Source organism: Homo sapiens, chromosome 5 (genome assembly GCF_000001405.40).
Source record: "Homo sapiens chromosome 5, GRCh38.p14 Primary Assembly".
Lineage (NCBI taxonomy): Eukaryota > Metazoa > Chordata > Mammalia > Primates > Hominidae > Homo > Homo sapiens.
Genome location: NC_000005.10, coordinates 143,492,384 through 143,516,532, shown reverse-complemented (window position 1 = coordinate 143,516,532; position 24,149 = coordinate 143,492,384). Strand labels below are relative to the sequence as shown.

The following is a 24,149-nucleotide window of genomic DNA, read 5'->3' as shown; positions in this document are numbered from 1 at the left end:
ATAAGAAAATGATTACAACTAAGTTCTAAGCCCCAGGTGCTTCTAAAAATGCCATTTCCTGGTCTCTACCCTTAACTGAATCTATCTGGGTCTCTAGGGGAAATCTGCATTTAACAAAGTGAGTCATTTGCCCTCTAAAGTGCAAGAGCCATGGCCCTCCCTGCTAGGCCTCAGGGAAGAATCAGGCAAGAATGCCAGCATCTTTCCTACTTTTCATATTGCCTCAGTCCCCAGAGCCAGAGAAATGGACTGCAAGAAATCCTTCCAATAGGCTGGCCAACTGACAATCTATGCATTGATTTAGAACATTGAACCTCAGAGATCCATGCGATGCTACTTAATATGGTGTGCAAGGCTGCAGGCACTCACAACTGACCGTGAGGGTATTGACTGGTCCCTATGGAAACGGTTTCTTGTGTCTGAGCCTGTCTCTCCCCGCCCACTGCACAGTAAAGGTCATTGCCCCAGCACCCTTGGGACAGGTCTAACATGACAGCAGCAGCCAGGACCTATGCACACACTAACCAATGCCATGAGCACATCCCAGCGAGGAATCAATCCTCATCTAAGAAGCTGGCCTGATGCCTGGTTCCTAAGGAGTCTCATACACAAACCATTTATTAGCAACTCTGATGCTCTCCCATTACTGACAGCTGCTAGCCAGGCTCAAATGAAAGATCTAGGGAAAGAAATATAGGCAAATTTTTCCCAAGACTTTGAGTTTGAAGAGACAAACTCAGAAGAACCAAGAGAAAAGGAATAATAGAGAATGGGCCTTTTCTAAATAGTAATAAGAATCATAACTAACATGTAATCAGTGCCTACTACATGAAGTAAATATTTTAATTTTTCCCATTTAACACAGAGATGTAAGGCTGTCACTTTACAGGACAAGGGAGAGAAGAAAGGAAGGAAGGAAGGGAATGGCAAGGAAGGGAGGGAGAGAGAGAGATGGGGAAAGGAAGGGAAGAAGGAAAGAAAAGGGCAGAGATCCCAAGCTCAGCTTTCTTCTGGGATAAATGATAGAATGACTGTGGAAGGCCTAAAACAAAAGATGAATAGAAACTGTCTTTTTACCTTAATTTGAAACTGAAATACTCAAGAGATTGACTTGTTTCATGTTCTATGAACCCAGACAAAAATAAATTGGCTGAATTTCAACCATCCCCAAATTGTTACAAACACACACACACTGTGTGTGTGTGTGTGTGTGTGTGTGTGTTTTCCCAATTATGACTTCTTGGGGTTGAATGGAAAATTTGGCAACCTGATTAACTGTAGCTTACAATAAAATAGCAAGAATGGGTGTTTTATAAGCCCTCTGTTTCTCATTCTCCTTGGAAGATTGTCAAGAGTTTAATGAAACTAATACTTTGGGTTTTAGATCTCTCATAGCCAGAAATCAGAGCCTCTCCAACACTAACAACTGAAAGTAACTCATGCTCTTTGAGCCAGTGGAATTATGCCAGGCACTAGGCTATGTGCTATTTGTGCATTGTCCCACTGAATTTTCTCAACAACTCTGCAATGAAGGTATGATTAATATTCTCATCTTACAGACATAACTGAGGCACAAAGAGGTGATGTGACTTCCCTAAATGGTAAGTAGAGAAGCCACACAGTTGGACTCAAGTCTTTTCTCTTAAGCACTATGTTAAACACTAAGCTATAGTAATGTTGGCACAAAAAATCTGTTCTTTAAATCAGCCAAACTTGTTACTTGGTATTCTGTGGAAAAGTAGTTTGGCTAATAATTGTTTTTAGTGGTTTTGGAGACAATGGCTCAGAAAGACATCATCTCCCCCTTCTCAGGATGTTTGACCTCCATCCAGGATGCTGGGGGGTTGCCTGAGATTCCAGTATGTTATTAGGGATTCATTGTGCCCATTCAGTCATTCAACCTTCTCCTCCAGCCTCCATGGGAAGTGTACATTGGCCACATGCATCCATTGGACATGGCAAATTGCACCATTCACTCATTTGATAGATTTTAACCAGCTTCCATGTGCCAAACACCATCCTGGGCACTTCACATACTATTATTCTTCAATACTTACAGAGCCCTGTGAGGGAGGTACCATTATTATCCCCATTTTATAGATGAGGAAACAGAGATTCAGAGTGGCTAAGTACAGCTAGGAGTCTCACCAGATCAGCCTGTTGACTCTGGCGCCTACTCTCTCAAGCAATATGCAATAGGGAGCAGGGAAAGATAGACAAAGTACCCATCCTGGAGAAGCCATCGCACCAACAGTGGAGATAGACATCAAGCCAACAATTACCAATTAATTCATTCATTACCATCATGTAAGTCCTACACAGCTGAAGTCAAGGAGGAACTGACCTGGGGGAACAAGAAATCTTCCCTGAGAAAGTGAAAGGTTAGTTGAGAACTGAAGTGAGTAGGAGTTCATCAGGAGAGAACAAATAAGAAAAGCATTGAAGATAGGGGAAAATAGCATGTTGACGGCCCTTGCATATTAAGACTGGAGTATTGGAGAGGAAGAGAGACAGAAGATGCAAGAATCATCTACTGTTCCCATCCCTTCTCTATGGAGGAAGGAACTGGCCTCAGGTTCAATGCACCCACTATCGAATTTTTCACTGTGTGCCCAGTGTTGCCTAATAGGCATTCAACATACCACTGATAAATTAATGAAACACATGGACAAATACATGAAAGCTGTTTGGTCCAAAGTCAAACAATGTATTGGTAAGGAAGAAAAATCCACAAAATCAATGTTTGGTATCACACAGATATGTGTTTAATAGCTGAATTTTTAAATATTTCCCTATGGCTTTTTAAATTATATGAGCTAACGGAGTAAGATAGTCTTTTCGACAAATGATGCTAGAAAAACTGGATATCTACATGCAAAACAGTGAAGTTGACCCTTTCTTACAGCATACACAAAATTAACTCAAAAATATATCATAGACCTAAACTTAAGACCTAAAACTCTGAAACTCTTACAAGAAAACATAGGTGTATATCTTTGTAACATTGGCTTAAGCAATGGTTTCTTACATATGGCACCAAAAGCACAACAATTTAAAAATAAAGAAACAAATTGAACATCATCAAAGTTGAAAATGGTTATGCCTCAAGGGGCACTAACAAGAAATTGATATTTTAAAACCCTCAAAATGGAAAAATACTTGCAAATCATGTATATCTGACAAAGAACTTGTATCTAGAATACATAAAGAGCTTTTATAACTCAACAATTAAAAATAGCACAATTCAAAACTTGGCAAAGAATTTTAGTAGACATTTCTCCACAGAAGATACATAAATGGCCAATAAGTGCATGAAAAGACGCTCAACATCCTTGGTCGTTGGGAACATGAAAATGAAAACAACAATGAGGTATCACTTCATACCCATTAGGGAAGCTATAATAAAAAAGCCAAATAATAGCAAATGTTGGACGAGGATGTGGAGATTAGAACCCTCATATATTGCTGGTGGGAATAGTATATGGTGCAGCCACTTTGGAGAACAGTTTGGCAGTTGCTCAGAATGGTAATCATAGAGTTACCATATGACCCAGCAATTCCACAGCTAGGTATTGACCTAAGAGAAACACATCTGCCCACACAAAACTTATGCATGAATATTCCTAGCAGCATAATTCATAAGATCTAAAAAGTAGAAACCACCTAAATGTCATCAACTGATGAAAAGATAAACAAAATGTGCGATATTTATATAAAGGAATCTTATCAATAAAGGAAATGAGGTACTGACACATCCTACAATATCAGTGAAACTTGAAAATATCATCCTAAGTGAAAAACGCCAGTCACAAAAGATCACATTTTGTATGATTCCATTTATGTGAACTGTACTAAATAGGCAAACCCATAGAGATAGAAAGTAGATTAGTGGTTGCCTGAGGTTGGAGCATGAAGTGGGTAACAGGAATACAGAGTGGCTGCTAATGGGTATAGGGTTTCTTCTGGGGATGATGAAAATGTTCTAAAATTGACTGTAGTGATGGTCGCACCACCCTATAAATATAATGAAAACCTTCCATTGAATTGTATATGTTAAATGGGTAATCTCATGGTATGTGACATATCTCAATAAAAGTATTAAAAATTATATGAACTAGAACTAGTGTCACAATCTTCTAATTTTCTGGAACTGCATTATTTTGTTTTGTTTCAGTTTTCACTCTCTTCAGAAAAGGCTCTGACATTGACTGCCTTTTCACCCCACACCCCATAAAAAGTATTACTTCCAAGATATGTATAGTATGAACAAAGATTAAGCCAGGTCTTCTCAGCTTTCTACATCTGCCTGCCCAGTCATAATCATCTTTCTAATGAGCCCCAAGGCCCTGTAGTGTCCTGTGAATTATTTAAGGAAGATTAAAATATTTCCATTCTACTGTACTTCTAAGCCTTGCACAAGCCCCCTCTGCAAAAATGTATATAAACAGAAAGCTTGAAATATATTTTGTTAAACTAAGTAGAACAACAAAAACAGTAACAACAGGACCAACCATTTCTCAAGAATACTAGTTATGTATTTTTTTTTTCCTACAGTGGCAGCAGCATCATTTAGGCAGACTTAGCAGTGTTAGGAATTTAGGTTGCACAAAAGTCACTTTCTTAGGAGCATTACTAAACAATAGGCTATTGCACAAACAAGTAAGTTTTCCATCTGTGGACATCTTTTTTTCTTTTTAGCTTCTTTAAAGATTTTTGTCCATTAATTTCAAACTATAGTAGCCTTAGTCTTCCCAAAAAGTAACAGGGCTAATGAGATTTCTTACAATCCCCCTCCATTCCTGTTATCTATAATATTTAATGGTTTCCCTTCAACTCTATCAGTGCTTGCAATTCCTCCTCTGTTTTACTGTTGTTCATTTTCAGCTTAATAACCACCTCATTCTATGCATCATCTCTCTGAAAATTTCGGGGAATAGCTGTGTAAGAGAAATGCACTCTTTGAATTTAGAACAGTACATTGTGTGTATACTTTTATATTATGTTCCATTTGTGCTGCTCCAATGGCATTGGCTGAACTCAGTAGCAAACTGAAATGACTGCAATGTTTTCCATTTGGAAAGAACAGCTTATTTAGCAGGTACATAATGGTATTTATTTTCTTTACTATTAGACATAGCTTGGAGTCTTTACCCCCCAAACCAGTTCTGGACATCAGTTTACCAAGTTGGAGCTATTTGTCATACCCAAGAAAATTAATAACCTCAAAATTGTTAAGTATCTTCTTAACCCTGAAGAACTGATGAACTTATCAGAAGAGCCCTGTCCTTACCAAAATTTTATAGGACTACTACTTTTAGCAGCAATTACAGCTGGAAGTAATAATAACAGCTAAAATTTTTTAAACTCTTACAATGGACCCACCACTGTTTAAAGCTAGATGTAGATATAGATACAGATAATTAATTTACTTAATCTCCACAGTGGCCCTGTGAGACAGGTATTCTTATTATTTCTATTTTACAGATAAGGAAATTGAGGTACAGAGAGATTAAAAGAAACTTGCCCAAGATTATGCAACTTGTAAATGGCAGAATTGGGGGTTTAAACCCAGGAATTTAGTTCCCAAGTCACTATGCTATGTTGTTTGATAGGAGGAGCTTAATAAACCTACTTGAGTGAACAAGTAGAGGTTATAGAGCAACAAAAGAAATTCATGACAGCAAAATTGCATCTACTCATCTCCACCCATTCTTTCCAGCCACATCCCTCCAGGAAGCCTCCCGGGATTACTAGAATGGAGAGGACATTGTTCTGTCCCTCCTTCCTACTCTTTTTCACCTCCTCCTAGATGTGGAGAGACCTTTATAGTAAATGTGTTTACAGAAATATGTACTTGCAAAGCAAGCCAGTTCCCAAGAAATCAAACATCCGTGCGCAAATGCACCAGGTCAGTCTGGTCTTTGACTCATTATGACCATAAGAATAACACAAGAGGATTCTGGTAAAGCAGATGTGGGTACCAGAAATGCAGGAAGGCTGTGCACGATGGCTCACACCTGTAATCCCAGCACTTTGGGAGGTCAAGGCAATGGATCACCTGAGGTCAGGAGTTCAAGACCAGCCTGACCAACATGGTGAAACCCAATCTCTACTAAAAATACAAAAATTAGCCAAGTGTCATGGCGCTTGCCTGTAATCCCAGCTACTTAGGATGCTAAGGCAGGAGAATCACTTGAACCTGGCAGGCAAAGGATGCAGTGAGCTGAGATTGTGCCATTGCACATGGATGGAGCGAAACTGTCTCAAAAGAAAAAAAAATGCTTCAAGAATAGCTATTTGGAACCCAGAGTTCTGATACTAGGCCTCAGTCTTATCTGTTCTTAGCTCTTGCTTGAGAAAAAGATTGCATGATTAAAATTAGTCTTCAACTACTTTGAAACCCTCTCTTTGGTTCCTTGCTGGTTAGTCAAACAGATTAACCAGGCTACTCTTTCTCAGTTTCCAAACCAGAAGTCAGCACTTCAGGGCAAAACATTTGACACATCCGAAACTCTTTTTAGTAGTGACAGCATTCTTTGTTCACTGAACATAGCTAGCTCAGTCATTCATTCAAAATTATCAGTAGACATACGACAGCTGCACGTCCTGACATAATGGCTGTACCAACACTTTTTTTTAAAGTGAGAAGGAGTTAAACTGAGGTAACTGAGATCATATGACAGGAACAAAACCCCAGCAACCTTGCCTCACCTGTTGGGAAATCTCAGCTAAGCCTGGATTTGAGCCACATATTCAAAGGGCCAAATATGCAGCTCTACCTACATTAGCTCATTTAATCTTCCCAACAATCCTGTTAAATTATCATATTATACTCATTAAAGAGAAGGAAAATAGAGCCAAGATTTGCACCCAGGTCATTTGCACTCTAAAATCCTCATTTTAACCATTACAACTCTCCTACTTCAACGTACACCTAAGCCTAAAGACAGAACCTTGGCAAAAGTACCATTTTTCGAACCAATTCAATTCATTTCAATGATGTTCTCAGTAGGATTTTATAGGCAGTAGAAACCCAAAGTCCATTTCTCTCAAAAGCCTGATTTTCTTCCAATCTTTCCTCTGGGAATAAAGTATCATTTCTAGAACACCTCAATTTAATGTAGATAAAGGATAACAACTTGTAGACAATAACAAGTTTAAATGTAGAAGGCAATAACACATTATTTTATATTTTTGTATGGTTGTTTTATTATACCTCTTTTGCCACATTACACTTGGGTAATACATTTTGGTTGTTGATGTTCCAATGTTGCATAATATATCAGGTTTCAAAATCTTTTTAGCAATATTATTTCATTTGATCATAGTTACAACCTTGTGAGGTAGGCAGATAGGAGACTATTATTCAAGTTATACAGTATGAAAACTGAAGCATTGTATTCCCAGTGCAGCGTGGCTGCTAAGAAGTTGAGTGGTTACTGGAATCCATGTCTGTTGAATTCCCAGATCAATGTTCATGTCACTGTTCCACACTGCTTCTTGTAAATCCAATGATACCCATTTTCATACAAGCATAGGTTTGCTTATCACCTATCTCTCCTACAGCTTTCAGAGATCCTGTGCAGGTCACTTTTGACAGGTGAATAATGAAAAGGTCTAGTATATTGGAAACCACAATGTGACCTAAAAGAAGAAAAGTGTTGCAAGTACAAGGACATTCATAATATTTTGCAATAGCAAAAATTTAGAAAATAACCCATCAACAAGAAAACAGATTAATAATGAAGCATTTATACAATGAAATACACAGCAGTGAAAACAAATAACCTCTAGCTAAATACAACAGCATGAATGAATCATGAATCACACACAGTTTGAAAGAAGTCAATATCAGAAGGATACATATAGTATAATGCTTGTACAAACTATAGAAATATGCAAAACAATAAGTTTACATATATGTGTAGTGAAAGTATTAAGAAATGCATGGAAATAGTAGTCACCAAATTCAGACCACTAGTTGCCTCTAGAGAGCAGAATGTGATCAAAGAGGACTAAGTAGGGACTTAAACTTGTATCAATATTGTTTTCATTCTTAATCTGTAGTCAATATGTGGGGGTTTGTAATATTTTTATTTACACATTTGTGTTTGTCTTAAATATTTTACAATACCTTTTTTTTTTTTTTTTTTTTTTGAGATGGAGTCTCACTCTGTGGTCCAGGCTGGAGTGCAGTGGCGCAATTTCAGCTCATTGCAACCTCCGCCTCCCGGGTTCCAATTCTCTTGCCTCAGCGTCCCGAGTAGCTAGGACTACAGATGTGTGCCACCATGCCCAGCTAATTTTTGTATTTTTAGTAGAGATGGGGTTTCACTGCTGGCCAGGCTGGTCTTGAACTCCTGACCTTGTGATGACCTTGTGATCTGCCTGCCTCAGCCTCCCAAAGCGCTGGGATTACAGGCGTGAACCACTGCCTTTGTCTACAATACCTTTTTAAAAAGAAAATGACAAAGGCAACCATTCATTCTGCAAACATTGACTAAAGGCAAGCAACATGCCAGACATTGTGACTGGGTGTTGAAATGTTGCAGTGAACCCTCTGATGCACTGGAGAAGATGGAAGAAGTGTGTTTAGTACTAGAAAGCATAGGGAGCTGTGGAAGTGTGTGCCAAGGAGTCCTAATGTAGTTCAGGTGACTTAGGAAAGCCTCCAAGAGACAATGAAGCTTAAGCTGAGACTGGAGAACGAAAAGTTGTACTTATCAGCAAAGAAAGGAACAGTTCAGATTGATCCCATTCAAAATTTCCGTGTCTGAAACTAAACATTAGCGCAAGGAAGGCAGAAAGGACAAGCCAGATCACACACCACAGGATCTCCTGTCCATTCCTTGCTAACATTTAGACTTCATTATGCACTGCCTGTAGCTCACATGGTGCCACATGCCAGCAAGTACCAAGTAGGGTGGGAAGGGGAGTGAAGGGAAGTGGGTATTCAAAAACATTTCAGTGACTTCACATTCTCCTGAGATCCAGAACAGTTCCCATATTCTCTCCTAATACAGAAGCAATTTCAGACACTGAGCATAGGGAGGCAGGGTATGAGTGTGAGCTGGCTGAGCCTTTCCCTCCCATTCCTGTGAAGGAATTACTCTGGCAGATTTCCACATTGTAGGTATTTTACCATTTGTCATAGGCAAGTTACACAACTCAGTTAGTGATTAAATTACCAACAGAGCTGCTATTTGAGTAAGGAAGGTTCAAGGTTGTTTCTTGCTCCTGCACTTTGTTTTAAATGCAATTGGATTAATTCTTTCTTAACCTCCTTGTTTAGAGGAAGAAAACAAAAATCCTGTCTGGTCTCCAATAGATAGGGTAAAAAGCGGCATTTTAACTAACTCATCAACCACTAGGATCCCTGTGTCTAACCTTGGTCCTTTGTTTAGATTTATAAAGTATGAGATCATTGTCAGTTTCATTTATCTCTGTTATTAAATGTACTGGGCCTCCTTCAAATGACATTATATCTCCTTATCTGATTCAAATAAATGTCTTACTCATGGCTAGAATGTAGATGGTGAAATCTCATTGTTAACTCAATAATTGAAATAATCTCATTGTTTTGCTTTCCTAATAGAATCTTAAATTGATTGCTCATGCCTGGAATTTCACTTAGTTTCACCAAACTTTTCTTAAAACTGCTGCTCTTATGCATTCTTTTTGTCTCAATGTTTCTACAAGGATGGAGCATTCTTGCTCTAAAGATAAATGCTTTTAACTAGCATTTCTCTTGGTCTGTTTATCTTATAAAAAATAAAAGTAATCACTCAATATTTGTGTTTGTTTCTATTAGTTATGATTAAATATACTGGTGGTATAGTTGCTAAAGGCACAGGCTGTAAAATAAGCACTAGGTTTGGATCCAAGCTCTGTGACCTTATAGTGACTTAACCACTGTTTTCTCATTTATACAATTGAGATAATAATGGCTATCCCATAAGAGTGTTGTGGGAATTCATAGAGATTATTTTGGGTATGTTACCTAAGCTGGGTGGCTCGTAGTAACCATTCAGATTTTAGCAAATAAAATACTGTACTCTGTATTCAGCTTGACTAGAAATGTGGTTTATCACTTAAAGGTTTGAATTGACCTTCTGAATTGTGACTCGTGAAAGGGATTTTCTTCCTGTCTTATACCATTCTGTACTTAGAGTGTTTGCATCTGAATCGTTAGTATTCCCTATCTTATGTATATAAACTATCCTCTAAATTAATTTTGTTTGATTTGGTTTTATTTTCCTGGTGATTTTCCCAGCTGCCCCAACTGCGACTCTTGGTATAGAAGAGGCAGTAGACTGCACTTCACCTTCTTCAGGTGAATGTCCCAAACAGAGCATTTGAGGTCCCCAGCTACAGCAGTCAGTGCTGCCTGGTAACTAAAAGCAGCAGCCTGCATGGCTGGAGGGAGTCAAGATAATGGAATTGGATTGTCACCCACAGTCAGCCTGAAACAACCATGGCTACCACCCCAAGTCCCATGCACTTTCTTGCATTTGGGGCTCTACACATACCCTTCCCTCTGCCTGGAACAATCTTTCCTACACTTCCCCCTTAATAAGATAATTACTACTCATTTATCAAGTCTCAACTTATATGTCATCTCTCTAAGAATTTATTCTCTGACCCACAGACTTAGTGGGAATCTCTATCATGTACCCCCACGACATTCTCAAATTATCCCTATTATGTGCAAGCAGTCCTTGTGCTATGGATTGAATGTGTCCCCCAAAGTTCATGTGTTGGAAACTTAATCTCGTATGTGACAGTGCTGGCAAGTGGGACCTAATGGGAGGTGATTAGGTCATGATCATTATCACTGGAGCAGGTTAGTTATCATGGGAGAGAGTCTGTTATAAAAACAAGTTGAGCTCCTTCTTGCTCTCTTGTGCTCACCCTCTCTTGCCCATCTGCCTTCTACATAAGATAATGTAGCACAAAGGCCCTTGTCAGATGCTGGGACCATGTTCTTGGACTTCCCACCCTCCAGAACCATCAGCCAAGTAAATGTCTCTTCATTATGAATTACTCTGTCTGTGGCATTCTGTTATGGCAGCATAAAACAGAGTAAAACACTTTGCTTTACACAGTTCCACTATGCATGAACTTCAATGACCACAATTTAGTTAAATAGCACCAGCCCTTCAACAACACAGTTCAAATTTCAGTAACCATGATATATGAACTATAAACTGTGAGCTGCTTGCTCTTTGGTCCACAAATCACTTCTTAACAGATTCACATCATGATCAGTAACCAATCACATCACTTCTTCCAAACCGATCACATCACTTCTTCCACTGTGCATTTGTTATTCAGTTGACACACAAAGAGCAAATCAAGTGGTTGTGTTGCTTCCTTGTCTCCCAGTAATAAACCCATGTGACAGTTTACAAACATGAATAATCAAAACTGGAAATTAGCTGAAAAAGATGAAAGTACTCCAAAAAATGAAAAGTGATAACCTGGAAGTCAAATTCGAATCAAATGTAAGTGAAGTTATAGAAGAAGTAACTGATTATGGCATGTTGACATCCTTTACCATTGCATCTACTCTAGATATGCAGTCAGAGAAACTTAGCAAAGTGGCTGTGACAAAAAGGATAAAGATGTCCCAGAGAAAGTGATGCCGGCCAACCATTTCACCTTGAAAGAACTCTCAGAGATATTTCACATCAACATACAAAGAACAAAGGAGAAAATATTAGAAACTGATCCATACTTAGAAAGGAATATGACAATTTACTGCTACATAGAAAACATGTTTGCTCCATGTTGTAAGATATATGATGATAAGAGAAGGCGAGCAGGCATTGTTCAGACTACTTTGGATGAGTGTTTTACACTAATTCTCAGTGTTTCTAATGTTTTCAATTATCATGCACTAAGTAAATAATAGTTTTATTACATTTTTCATTTCCCTATATATTTATCACTGGCAGTTTTTAAAGGTCATGGAACAGTCATAATTTTTCCTATTTATGATGATGATTACTTTGCGCAGTTTCAGCTTGCATGGTAATATTTGTGGTCCTGCACCACATGCAAAGTAAGGACTGCCTATATATTGAGCATCAATTCTACGTCTGGTACATCATAGTAACTTACTACACGCTCACAAGAATATAAGTTTAGGTTTGGGTGAATGAATGAATGAATTCTAAGTGGGCTTCACCTATATTCAAATACTAGGAATGAAGGAAGATATTTTCTTCCTTTCCCAGCCACTGTGATTTGCTGTAGTTCTTCCTCTAGCTTGATGCTTGGCCCATATCCCAAAGAGTAGACCTGGTCTGTGCTCACATTAACTCTATAATTCTAATAATATCCCTGAAGCTGGGATTCAGCTCCCCAACCAGCAGGTCAGTACAGCAACTTGCAACTGGCTCCACCAGGCCCAGGCCCAGTCTCAGCTGCTCACAGCCACAGCCACTGCTATCTATGCTCAACTGATTGTGGAGCTGAGTTTATGATTCAGTACTTCCAGTCTTAAACTATGGTCGTGGGGCATAGGAATACCTTAAATAAGTGAAATTTATTAAGTAAGTTTATTATAATATAAACTTTAGTCTGGTCAATAACTTACATCCTCTTATATCTTTACAAGAACTGTTAATAAATATACAGATTTCATACTCATTTCTTTACACTAAAGAGTAGTCAAACAGCCAAAATGTCAACATTGCTATGACAGCACTTCAATGTCCATAAATGTAATCTTAGCATAGCTGAAAATATAACTCTTCTGGTACTTTCTCTGTACTTTTATCATTGTAATCCTGTTAGAAATACAACTGGGAAGAGACAGAATATAAAAGGGACAATGTTCCCACAGCTTTTGGATGTCAGATAGGCAATGTCATTAAGTCATTTCCAGGAAATACCATGAACCAGCTTATTTATGTTTCTTTTTCTCCCAAGGTTCTTCTCTGAGAATGTTTTTAAAATCAAATTAACCTCTTTCCAAAGGCCTTTAATACTTCCTTATTCCATGGATTTATTAAAATCTTCTTCCAAATATGTTGCCCAGGGGGTGGTTGAGAGTTCCATTCCTTCCTTCATTTATTTGGCAAACATTTGCTGAACACCTACTCTGTTCCCAGCTCTGTGCTTGGCACTGAGATCAATGTTGAGAGTCAGACACATGTGCCTTTCTGGGCCTTGTAGACTAATGGCAGAAACAGGCAATAAATAGATGAATAAATAACAGAACCTGGAATTAAGCTCATGCCACATGCTATGAGGGGAACAAACAGGGTGAAGGGAAGGAGTTTGGGCCATAATCCAGAGAGACACAATCCCGAATGCCCAAATCTCACATGTTGAAATCCCAGAAGATCAAAATCTTTAAGTCTAAAATCCCAAAATCACAATCCCGAAAGATCAAAATTCTAAAAACATAATTCTGGAAAAAATAATTTAAAAAAATTTAAGACATCTATTTATATTAGGGGATTTATTTTAGAAACATAAACCCACAATCAAACACTCATAGTCCCCTTCACAGAATAAAATAGGCAATAATAACATATTTTTGCAAGCATAAACACTCAGGTATACTAATGACAGTCACATGAGCATAACAGTTATGAGAAGATGAACCATATTCACAAATAAATAGGTCAAAAAGCAAAATGTATAAATGCCTATCACTATGGTTGGTAATTGTGTGCACCTAGCTTTTAACTGTGGTCATCTGAAATACCATGACCGACACCTTAAGGCTTTTGACAAGATTTGTCAAACATTACAACAGATCACTACCAAATAGGCAATCTCCTGAAGAGCTGAGATCTCAAGAATTTTTTTCTTTCACAAATTTAGATAGATGTACAAAAAGGACATCTCTTTATTGATTGAAGAAGTTTTGATGTTTTTACATTGACAAGGAGGGAAGCTGATGGTCTAACTCTCAGTTCCAGGCCAAAAGCCTCAGGACCCTGTGTAGATTCTAGAGACTAACAGCTGCTGAGCCTGCAGTTCTGATGTCTAAGGCAGGAGAGGAAAAGTGTGCCAGCTCTCAGAGGAGACCAACTCACCTTCTGTGTTGGTTCTCTCTGGGTTCCTGACTGATTAGATGGTGCCCACCAACACTGAGGGCAGATCTTCCCCACTTAATCCACTCAGACTCACACACTAACCTCTGGAAACACCCTCACAGACACATCCAAAATAATGCTTTACCAGGTTTCCACATATCCCTTAATCCATCCAAGTTGACAAGTAAAACTAAGTCCACTAGTCTACCTTTTGTCAACTTGGCACCCACAGATATCTCCTTAAGCCATACTTGATTTGCAAGTAAAGACGATTTCTTGTCTTTTATCGTTCTGCCAACATATTGCAACAAACAAAAGGCAACTATGCTGTATACGATCAAAAATGCACAGCTGCCTTCCTCAGAACTCGGCTTGCAGGATTTTAATCTTTCAGAATTGTGATTTTCAGGATTTTAGACTTTAGAAATTTGGATCTTTTGGGATTTCAACATTCGGGGTTCTGGCATTTGGAATTGTGTCTTTTAGAATTATGATGAGCACCAGAAGGGAGGGAGGATAGTAGGAAAGGCCTTCTTCAGATAAGATGGCAGGGAAGAGCTCGGAGGAGGTGAGACCTGAAACACAAGGAGTTGACGGAAGAAATTTCCTCACAGAGGAAACGTGCCAAAGGGCTCTGAGGCAGGAAGAGCCTGGGGTGCTCATGGACATGTAAGGGAGGAAACTGGAAATTTTGTGCATAATTGTACATAATTGAAGCCCATTTAAGGCCAGAGTAACTGTTGTGGCTCTCTGGAGATGGCCTCTTGCCACCCACTCCATAGCCTGTCATCTCAGGGTGAAGAAGCTTCCACAGGGAGCCTCAGCTTCACCCCCATCTGTTTCCTATTTACAGCAGGCCTATCCTGATCTGCAATTCATGCTTAAAGCCTCCAACCAAGCCTGCTTCTCTGAAAACTTGCTGACTTTGACTTGGGATTCGCACTAAAGTTCTTTGTTGCAGGCTGATCTCTCCCCAAGTGCTTTCTCTATTAACCACTTAAGTACAGCAGCTTTTTCATCCCCTCTCGCTGCCTGCAAGCAGGAGGATGAACACTGTCCTGTGGGCCTGGATGCTGGCAGATGGGCCTCCTGGAAGGAGACTTCTGGAGGCTGTTGGAGCGGAGTATGGCCCTGGGCCAGCTTTGCAATAGAGGGACACTTGCTTGATAGGGGCTCAGGGAGTCATCAACTCTATTTTCTCATTCTTGTTTCACAATTTCAAAAGAAGCACAACACGAAATTGGTAAAGCTTTGTTATAGCACATAATTGAGAAATCCTGTGATGTGAATTATGCCGGGAAACTACTTGCCACCTGTCATCATGTGATGTAATAAAAGCAATAACTATATGTAGAATAATTTTTAAATAATCTATTATAGGACTTTCTTGGCTGTTTAGTCCAGTTATTCACAGGGACTTTATAACACTTTTATCTGTTATTACCATGGTTTGGAAGAGAAGGAGATAACAGGTAATCTGATATGTCCAGCAAGTTACTTCTCTCTCTGAACTTCATTTTCCTTATTAGTTAAAAGGTGATAAATAATGCTATGGCCCTCATAGGACTGTTGAGAGGACTAACTAAACTGATGTGTGTCAAGTACACTGCCCAGTGCCTGAGTCATAGTTAGAGCTCAGAAATAGTAATTATTATTATTTCATGAGGCACTATTTCTCTTCTTTAAAAAATTTTGGGCTGGGCACAGTGGCTCACACCTGTAATCCCAGCACTTTGGGAGGCCGAGGCAGGCAGATCAGCTGAGGTCAGGAGTTCGAGACCAGCCTGGCCAACATAGTGAAACCCCGTCTCTACTAAAAATACAAAAATTAGCCAGGCGTAGTGGTGCATGCCTGTAGTCCCAGCTCCTTGGGAGGCTGAGGCAGGAGAATCACTTGAACCTAGGAGGCAGAGGTTGCAATGAGCAGAGATTGTACCACTGCACTCCAGCCTGGGCAATAGAGTGAGACCCCATCTCAAAAAAACAAAAACTAGGACAAAGTTCATAGTTAGAACCAAGCAAAAATTTATTCTATGTGTTAGGGTAATTATTTTTGTAAATTTTTCTTCTATTTATTCCTTTTTATTAATAATTTATGAATTATAGTTGTATCCTTACACTATAAACAACACAGTTCAGTCCCACAGAGGGCATGTCCAAAGCCATGTGGAATCCAGCAAATTACCAATAAAAAACAATCCGTAACAATAGTCTTGGTTTCACTGGAACTAAGGACATATGATCTATGCTGTATGTATTCTATTTCCTGTGTAAGAGACACTTTGATACTCATTACTCTAGAAAGTATTTATAATCTAGACAAAAAAAAGCCTAATTTTAAACATTGTGATTTTTGACATCCATTTTTTGAAAATCTGTATTTTCCAGATCTTAATATATTTCTTGAGTGCTGACCATGTGCCAGCCACTGTGCTGTATTTCACATGAATTACCTCATCTAACCTTCCACCTGTAAGTTAGATACTATCCCACCCCCATATGACAGATAAGAACACAGAGGCTTGGAACTATGTGGTGTATTGCCCAAGGTTACCCACCTAGTGGCAGACACAAGACACAAACTCATGTCTCTGCCATTTTAACTGTGCTCTCTATGAGAGAAATGGCCACCACCTCTTCAGGCTAAATGTGATGAATAAGAATACAGAGGCTTGGGCAAGTCATATCACCCCTTTTTGCCTCCATTTCCTCATTGGTTAAACAGGAGCAATAATCCCATCAACCTCAGACAGCTGTTGTGAGGATTCAGTGAGGTCATGCATGTAGAGCACTGCCTCACCCTTTAGGAACCCTGCCTAACTCTCCCAGAATATCACACTTCATTTTATCAGGAAGAATTTCTCCATGTGGTCTAGCCTGACAATCCATTGTTCACAGCCAAGGTCATACTCCGTAACTAGTTGCCCATGTCCACCCCACGTTTAGGCTTCCTCAGATAAAATACTAATGGCTTATACTCATTAAAGCTTTTTTAATCAGTACCACTTGATTCCCTGTCTCAGCATTATATATATTCCCATGGTCCTGTTGGCTTCCAGACTAAAAGATTTAGCAGATCTCCAGAGTCACATGCTTCTCCGTTTCTACTCTTCCTTTTCATAGAAATGAAATCTTAAGGAAATCCATCAGACCAGCTTGTTCATCCTTAAAGGATGTGCACTGGAGGAAGAAGGATTGGGATTTTATCTCTGTTGTAGCCATATCCCATAATTTGAGGTCCGCACACCATGCTACATTCATATTCATGTTCTCTTACTCTTTGTTTTCTCCTTCTCTCTCTCTTTCTCCCCAACTCCCCCCATCTATTACCTACCTACCTGTCTCATTTAATCCATGCAACTCCCCCTCCAAGAAAGTATTTAAAAGGTGGGCTCTAGAGCCATACTTCCTAGATGGTAAATCCTGGCTCTACCACTTGTTAGCTGTGTGACCTTGAACAAAGTAAGTAACCTCTCTGTGCCTAGTTTCCTCATCTGTAAGGGGGGATGCTAATAGCACCTACATCATAAGATAGTGTGAGCCTAGCATTTAAAAGAGTGCCTGCTACATAGCTAGTTCAAAAAAGTATTATTATTATTCTGTTTAATAGATGGCAAACTGTGGTTCTGGAAGTTTAAATAACCCACCCAAAGGCATACCGACTGTGTGTTGCAGAGCTGGAACAGGCTGATGGCAGAGTTGGTGCTCTAACCACAGTACTTCACTGCCTCTTACTTAGCATATGCTGTGTGTTTATTACTCAGCTGAGTATGGCTGGGCATTGTGGGACTCTCAAAATAGACAAAGATGCCCTTTTAACCAACAGTTTCACTTCCAAGAACTTGACCGTAACTGGAACAAGTATATAAAGGAATAGGTATACGGATGCTCATTACATAATACCAGAAACAACAAAAATGCCCATCAATTAGGGGCTCAGTAAGTAAGGTATACTGCATTCATGCAGTGGCTGCTATGCTATTATTAAACCAAGAAGAGCAATATGTATTAAAGTAAAAGATCCCCAAGTCCTGAAGCTAGAAGAAAAATAAGGTACCAAAAAACATAGTTGTACTTATATATCCATATAGGATCTCAGGAAGCAGATTAGCAGCAGTGGGTTCTGGAGAAGAGCACTCGGTATCTTGGACAGGAGGGAGATTTGTGTTGCTGGATTTCTCTATTTTGACTGTTTGAATTTTTGACCGAGATACTTTTCAATTTAAAAGACTAGAATATAAAAAGGCTGTTAAATGTAACACTGACTATATAAATGAATGTTTCTTTATATATAATCTTTGGAGCACAAATTTTTCATGGGGAATGTAAAACTGCCTTTTAAAATATGATGGGGAAACAGACTGTGGGAAATATTCACTGACTAGAAGAGAGAAGCAAGACTATTTTAGAAACTCCTCTGTCAGGGCAGCAGTGTAGAAAATAGTTGAGAGTGGTGACTTTGGAGTCAGACAAACCCACTGTCAAATCTTGGGTCTAACACTAATCCACTGTGTGATCTTTTGAGTCTCAGTTTCCTCATCCATAAAATGGGGCAATATTATCTATTTTGAAGTGAGGATATAATGAGATAAAATACCATAGAGTCTTGCACATACAAGCATTCAATAAATGGTTACAGCTATTTACCCTGATAAGGAAGTAGGTAGATGACTGATAGATAGATAGATAGATAGATAGATAGATAGATAGATAGATAGATAGATGTTGCTAAAAAGGTTCTAAATCAACCATTCTTCCTTTGTCCTCCTTTCTCTCTTCTATCAGCCCAGAGAACAACAGTCTTATACCTGTTGTCTAGATAGCATTGTAATAGCAGTACCAGCAAGCTTTGCAGTCACACTAACTAGCTGATGACCCTAGGCAAGTTTTAAGCTCTCTGAGTCTTTACATAATGCTAATAACAGGCCAACTGCAGTGGGTCACACATGTAATCCCAGTACTTTAGGAGGCCAAGGTGAGAGGATCACTTGAGCCCAGGAGTTCAAGACCAGCCTGGGCACCATGGCAAAACCCCCTATCTCTAAAAATTACAAAAATTAGCTGGGCATGGTGGTGCTTGTCTGTGACCCCAGCTACTCGGGAGGCTGAGGCAGGAGAATCACTTCAACCCAGGAGGCAGAGGCTGCAGTGAGCCGAGATTGCACCATTGCATTCCACTGTGGACAACAGAGCAAAACCCTGTCTCAAAAAAAAAAAAGTAATAACAATATCTACCCATAAGGGATTATGCAGACCAAAACAAAATAGCCATGGTCCCTGCTCTCATCAAACAATCTAGGATCCCCTGCAAATAGCCTAGCATGACTAATCCTATGAGGGTCCTCCACAAACATTTGTTAATTCATTGAACCTATGACTTTCCAGGAAAGGCATCTATACATACCATGAGGTTTTTTTTCCAAATTACTCAACTACCATTTTACCAAACAACTCCAATTTGTGTTAACTTTTCAGGCCCAAGCATGTGTATTTGCCTTTAAACTACACGCATTTCCTTCACTTCTCATTTCATCAAACTATACAATTGGAATCACTCTTTTATTCTCTAGCTTTCACTATCATTCTTGTTCTCTCTCAATCTCTTTTTTTTTTTTTTCTGAGACAGTCTTGCTCTGTTGCCCAGGCTGGAGTGCAGTGGCATGATCTCAGCTCACTGCAACCTCCGATTCCCAGGTTCAAGTGACTCTCCTGCCTCACCCTCCTGAGGAGCTGGGATTACAGGCGCCCGCCACCACGCCAAGCTAAATTTTGTATTTTTAGTAGAGACGGGGTTTCACCATGTTGACCAGGCTAGTCTCGAACTCCTGATCTCAAGTGATCCACCCACTTCAGCCTCCCAAAGTGCTAGGATTACAGGTGTGAGCCACCGCACCTGGCCTCTTGCTCTCTCCTAATAGTTATCCAACTCAGACTACCAAAGTGCGCTCACATCATGGTCCACTACATCTAGCAACTCAATTCTGTCTCCAAAAGGAAAGAGTTTCTCTCTCCTCACTTCAAACTGAAAAGTCCCAGGGATGGTCTCTGGCTGGCCCAGCCTGGAACTGGAAGAGCGATAAATGTAGGGCTGGAAAGCACACGCATAACTAGAGGAGAAATTATTGCACTTTGGTCTCCTCCCCCAATTTGGATCTACCAAATGTAAAACAAATATCTGAATAGTCAGCCTTTCTTTTTATTAAAAAAATTGTTGTGCTGCTTAAATTAACACAGTGCACTGTGCACTCCCCTTTGCATGTGTAGACACAACCCTTTTTAAATCTGTATTAAAAAATAGAATTGGCAATGGCTTTTGCTCCCGCTTGAGCTTGCCAAAAAAGGTTGGAAATGAGCATGCCTCTTCCTGTCTCTCTTGGCTCTGCTCCCTATTAGGATTTGATAGAGACAGAATCTTTCTCTTCCTCAACTTTCCCTGGAGCTGTAAGTGGGCTAAGGGGTGGAGTTTGGGAGAAGGGCACCACCTTTCACAATCCAGAAGTTAGGGATGTAGAAATATCAGGTGCTGGCGACAACATTTTGGAGCTTCTGAGCAAGTTCCCATGCTGTTGTTTAATCCTTAATCATCTCTCTTGGCATACTTCCCATTGCTACTGCTTGCATAAAATTGGAAGGAGCTGATTGCCTCAATCTGTATTTTCTATAAGGCCATGCTTACTTAGCGCAAAACCCACAGGGACTCCTCATATAATTGTTTTGACCCTAATAGGCTGTTTTCTTTGCTTCCAAGAAATCTCTTCTATCTTCCCCTTACATTCTAAAATAGTCTTAGTCCCAAGTGACAGTCAAGAACATGGGGGATACCTAAACATTTCCTGTAGAGAAATAAGATGTTAGTTGAATTCCATACCCATCTCTCTGAATGGGACTAATTATCAATGGGGGCTGTTGCCATGAGCAGGATTCTTTATGGAAATTACCTTAACTATTTTGTTTTTCCTAAAGACTACTCCGGTGGCAAAGAAGAATCATTACTCTTCAAAGTTCCTATACCAAACAATAAAAATAAAATGTCTGCTCATTCCAGCTAGTTAAAATTGAAATTTGAGGGCTCTGGTAATCTAAAACATGTCACTCAACTGTAGGCTGTCTCAGAAAAAAAAGTTCACTGCACTCTTCAGGAATGAAAGTACAAGATCCACCCAAGTTATTGCGTAAACCAAAATGCTCAAGGCTAACCCCATGCAAATATAGAGAAGGCCAACCTTTAGATGCTATCCTTTTTTTTCAGAGACCCTTCCCTAAAATCTTTCTAATGCTTGAATTCTCTCATTTATGAAAACTGCCTTAAAATTCCCAGTATCCACAGGAGCAAAGGTACAATCAGTCCCTAACAGCTTGCAGTCAATTTGTGTCTTAAATCTTTCCTTACATTGAAATTAACAATGTTTTATTTCTGTTGCCTTCTTTTTGTAGATTTTACTATAAGGAGACAGATACATAGACATAAGCATGTATTACTTGGAAAAAAATGTTTACTTTCTTACTCCATAATATAATGTGGTAGCACACACTTCTTCCTAGGAAGAAGTATATTAGGTTGAATGTGGAGAGACAGAAACTAAAAGGCATAGAGCACCTAATCCACAGTAGTATTGAGCAGGATGAGTCAGGTAAGGTGGCAACACAGTATGAGGGGGACACACCAATTTCAGCAGGAGACATTTTTGACTGTTATCTCTAATGACCTACATATACCTGCTCTTCAAGATTAACAGGTTTCTGAAATAATGTTGGGACTTTGAGTCTCATTCCACATCCATTGCAATGAATTCTTTAAAAATCGGAATGATTTTCCAATCTTGAAAGCACTGCAGAGAGACAACAGGACTAGTACAGCTTCAGTCAGGTATCCACACTTGAACCAATCAGGTAGGACCAAGAATGCAAACATGGGTGCATGGGAGCCCACGGGGGCAGACTGAAGAGAAGTTCTTAGGGGAAAGAAGGGTCAAAGGAATTCTGTGACTTGCATGGCTTTGGGGAAAGTACTTTAGCCTGTATGAGCCTCTGCTTACCAGTCATGGATTATACTTTCTACTTACTGTAAGGAACACTGCCTTATAAATACCAAACTGCTAGTCAAGGATGCTGGGGCCTGAGTTGGCAGTAAGTTTAAGATGACTCACCAGTGTTATAAGGCTACCAAATGAGCAAGCTTGATCTTGGGACATAATAATATACATGTATACATTAAAATGAGAAAAAATGACAGCCTCCCTCCATTTGATAAAAATCTGATTCTCCTGGAATAGAGCCTTCGATCTGAGGTGCCTCATTAACAGGAATATTGGCAAACTGGAACAGGTGGTGGAACTTAATCTCTCTTTACAACATGCCATTGTATCAGTTCAAAAGCCTTTTTTAAAAAACTCTAATCCAGACGGTCTTAAACAGTTGAAAATGTATTTATTCGTGTTTACATAGCAAGGTGTCTAGAGGCAGGTAGTTTCTGGCACTGAGTGAGTGGTCCAGTGATGTTAAGGCTGTCATCTCTGTGATTCTCTTGACCTTTTCTTGACCTCATGGTTGCAAGATAACTGTCAGAGCTCCAGATATCTCATCAATGTTCAAAGCAGGAAAAAGAAGAGGAAGATTGTTACTAGCTTGATTTGTTCATATTATCAGAAATACAAAAACTTTCTCTGAAAAAATTCCAAAAGACTTTTGCTTATATCTCATTCATAGAACTGTGTCTCAAGTACACCATCAACTGCAGCTGAGGCTAGAAAGATGAGTATTGGGCAGAAGATGGCAAGGAAGAACAATAATTGCAATATTTCAGCTAAAGGGCATTGTCTGCCACAATTGGCACTATTGCCTTTCCCTTTTGGGAAAAAGAAAATATTTCACATACATGAAAAAGAATAGGATTGGTCTAGATTTATCAGATGTCCACCCACTCCTGATCGAATCAGCTAACGTTTAGATACAAGCCTGGCTGTAGAAGGTTCATTACTATAAAAAATTGTCATATGTGTACCTATACAACCATACATGGCTAAAAAATAAAACATCACAAATCCAGTTGGAGCCTCTTATATATTCCTGCTCAATTACATTTCCTTACCCTGGCCCAGTAAGCAATTACATAGTATCCTGAGTCTGACATCTATCATTCCCATACATATTTTTACTTTGTATGGTTATTTTCATAATATTGCTTAAGTGGTTTTAAAATTTTGTGCAAATGGTATCATACTGTAACTTGGCCCTCTTCAACTTGCTTTTTTAAATTTAATTCTGATGTTTGAGAATTATTCACATTTGATTTAGTTCACTCAATATCATTGCTGTAAAAATATTGCTTTGATGAATATAATACAATTTGTTTATCCATTCTTTCATTGATGGACATTTAGATTTTTACAGTTCTTTGCTGCTAAAACAATGCTTCAATGAACTTCTTGTACATGCCTCTTTCTGCATATGTGGAATAATTTCTCTAAGGCATATACCCAGAGATGGAATTGCTGAGTCACAGGTTCTGTACTTTTAAATTTTACAACATATTGCCAAATGGCTCTCCAAACTGATTTATCAGTTATCCACCCACCCCAGTGTATTATTGTTCTAATTGTTCCACATTCTTACCAACACTTGATATTGTCAGACTTTTCAATTTTTGCCAATTGCATAGCTGTGAAATGGTATCTCAGTGTCATTTTAATTTACATTTCCATGATTACTAATGAGATTAAGCATTATATCAGATGTTTTTGGCTATATGGTTTTCATCTTCCATTAATTTCCTGTTGATATTATTTGCTCATTTTGTAATGGATTTGTTGTCTTTTCCTTATCATTCAACTCTTTCTATGTCTGATTGCCCCAGTGAGACTGAGCATCTCTAGTCAAGAATCATGGCCTTCGCCACTCATTCAATAATATCTGCTGAATGCCTAGTATGTGCCAGATACCACAGAAGCATTGAAGATACATGGCAAAGGCCATGGAGATGTTATTATGTCTTTAAAATTCTTTTATTATATCTGGCACATAAAGAGATTTGTTGACAAATAAATAAACACAATTCTGAAGGTACATAAGAGCTGTCCTCTGCAGCCTTTTTGTGGA

At 39.1% G+C, this 24,149-nt stretch overlaps 1 annotated feature.

Annotated features, from left to right (window-relative positions):
* Nucleotides 9,015–9,309: an enhancer, noted in NCBI's record as "tiled region #10277; HepG2 Activating DNase matched - State 5:Enh". NCBI's record gives its function as "activates a minimal TATA promoter and a strong SV40 promoter by Sharpr-MPRA in HepG2 cells {active_cell/tissue: HepG2}" and the evidence as "EXISTENCE:reporter gene assay evidence [ECO:0000049][PMID:27701403]".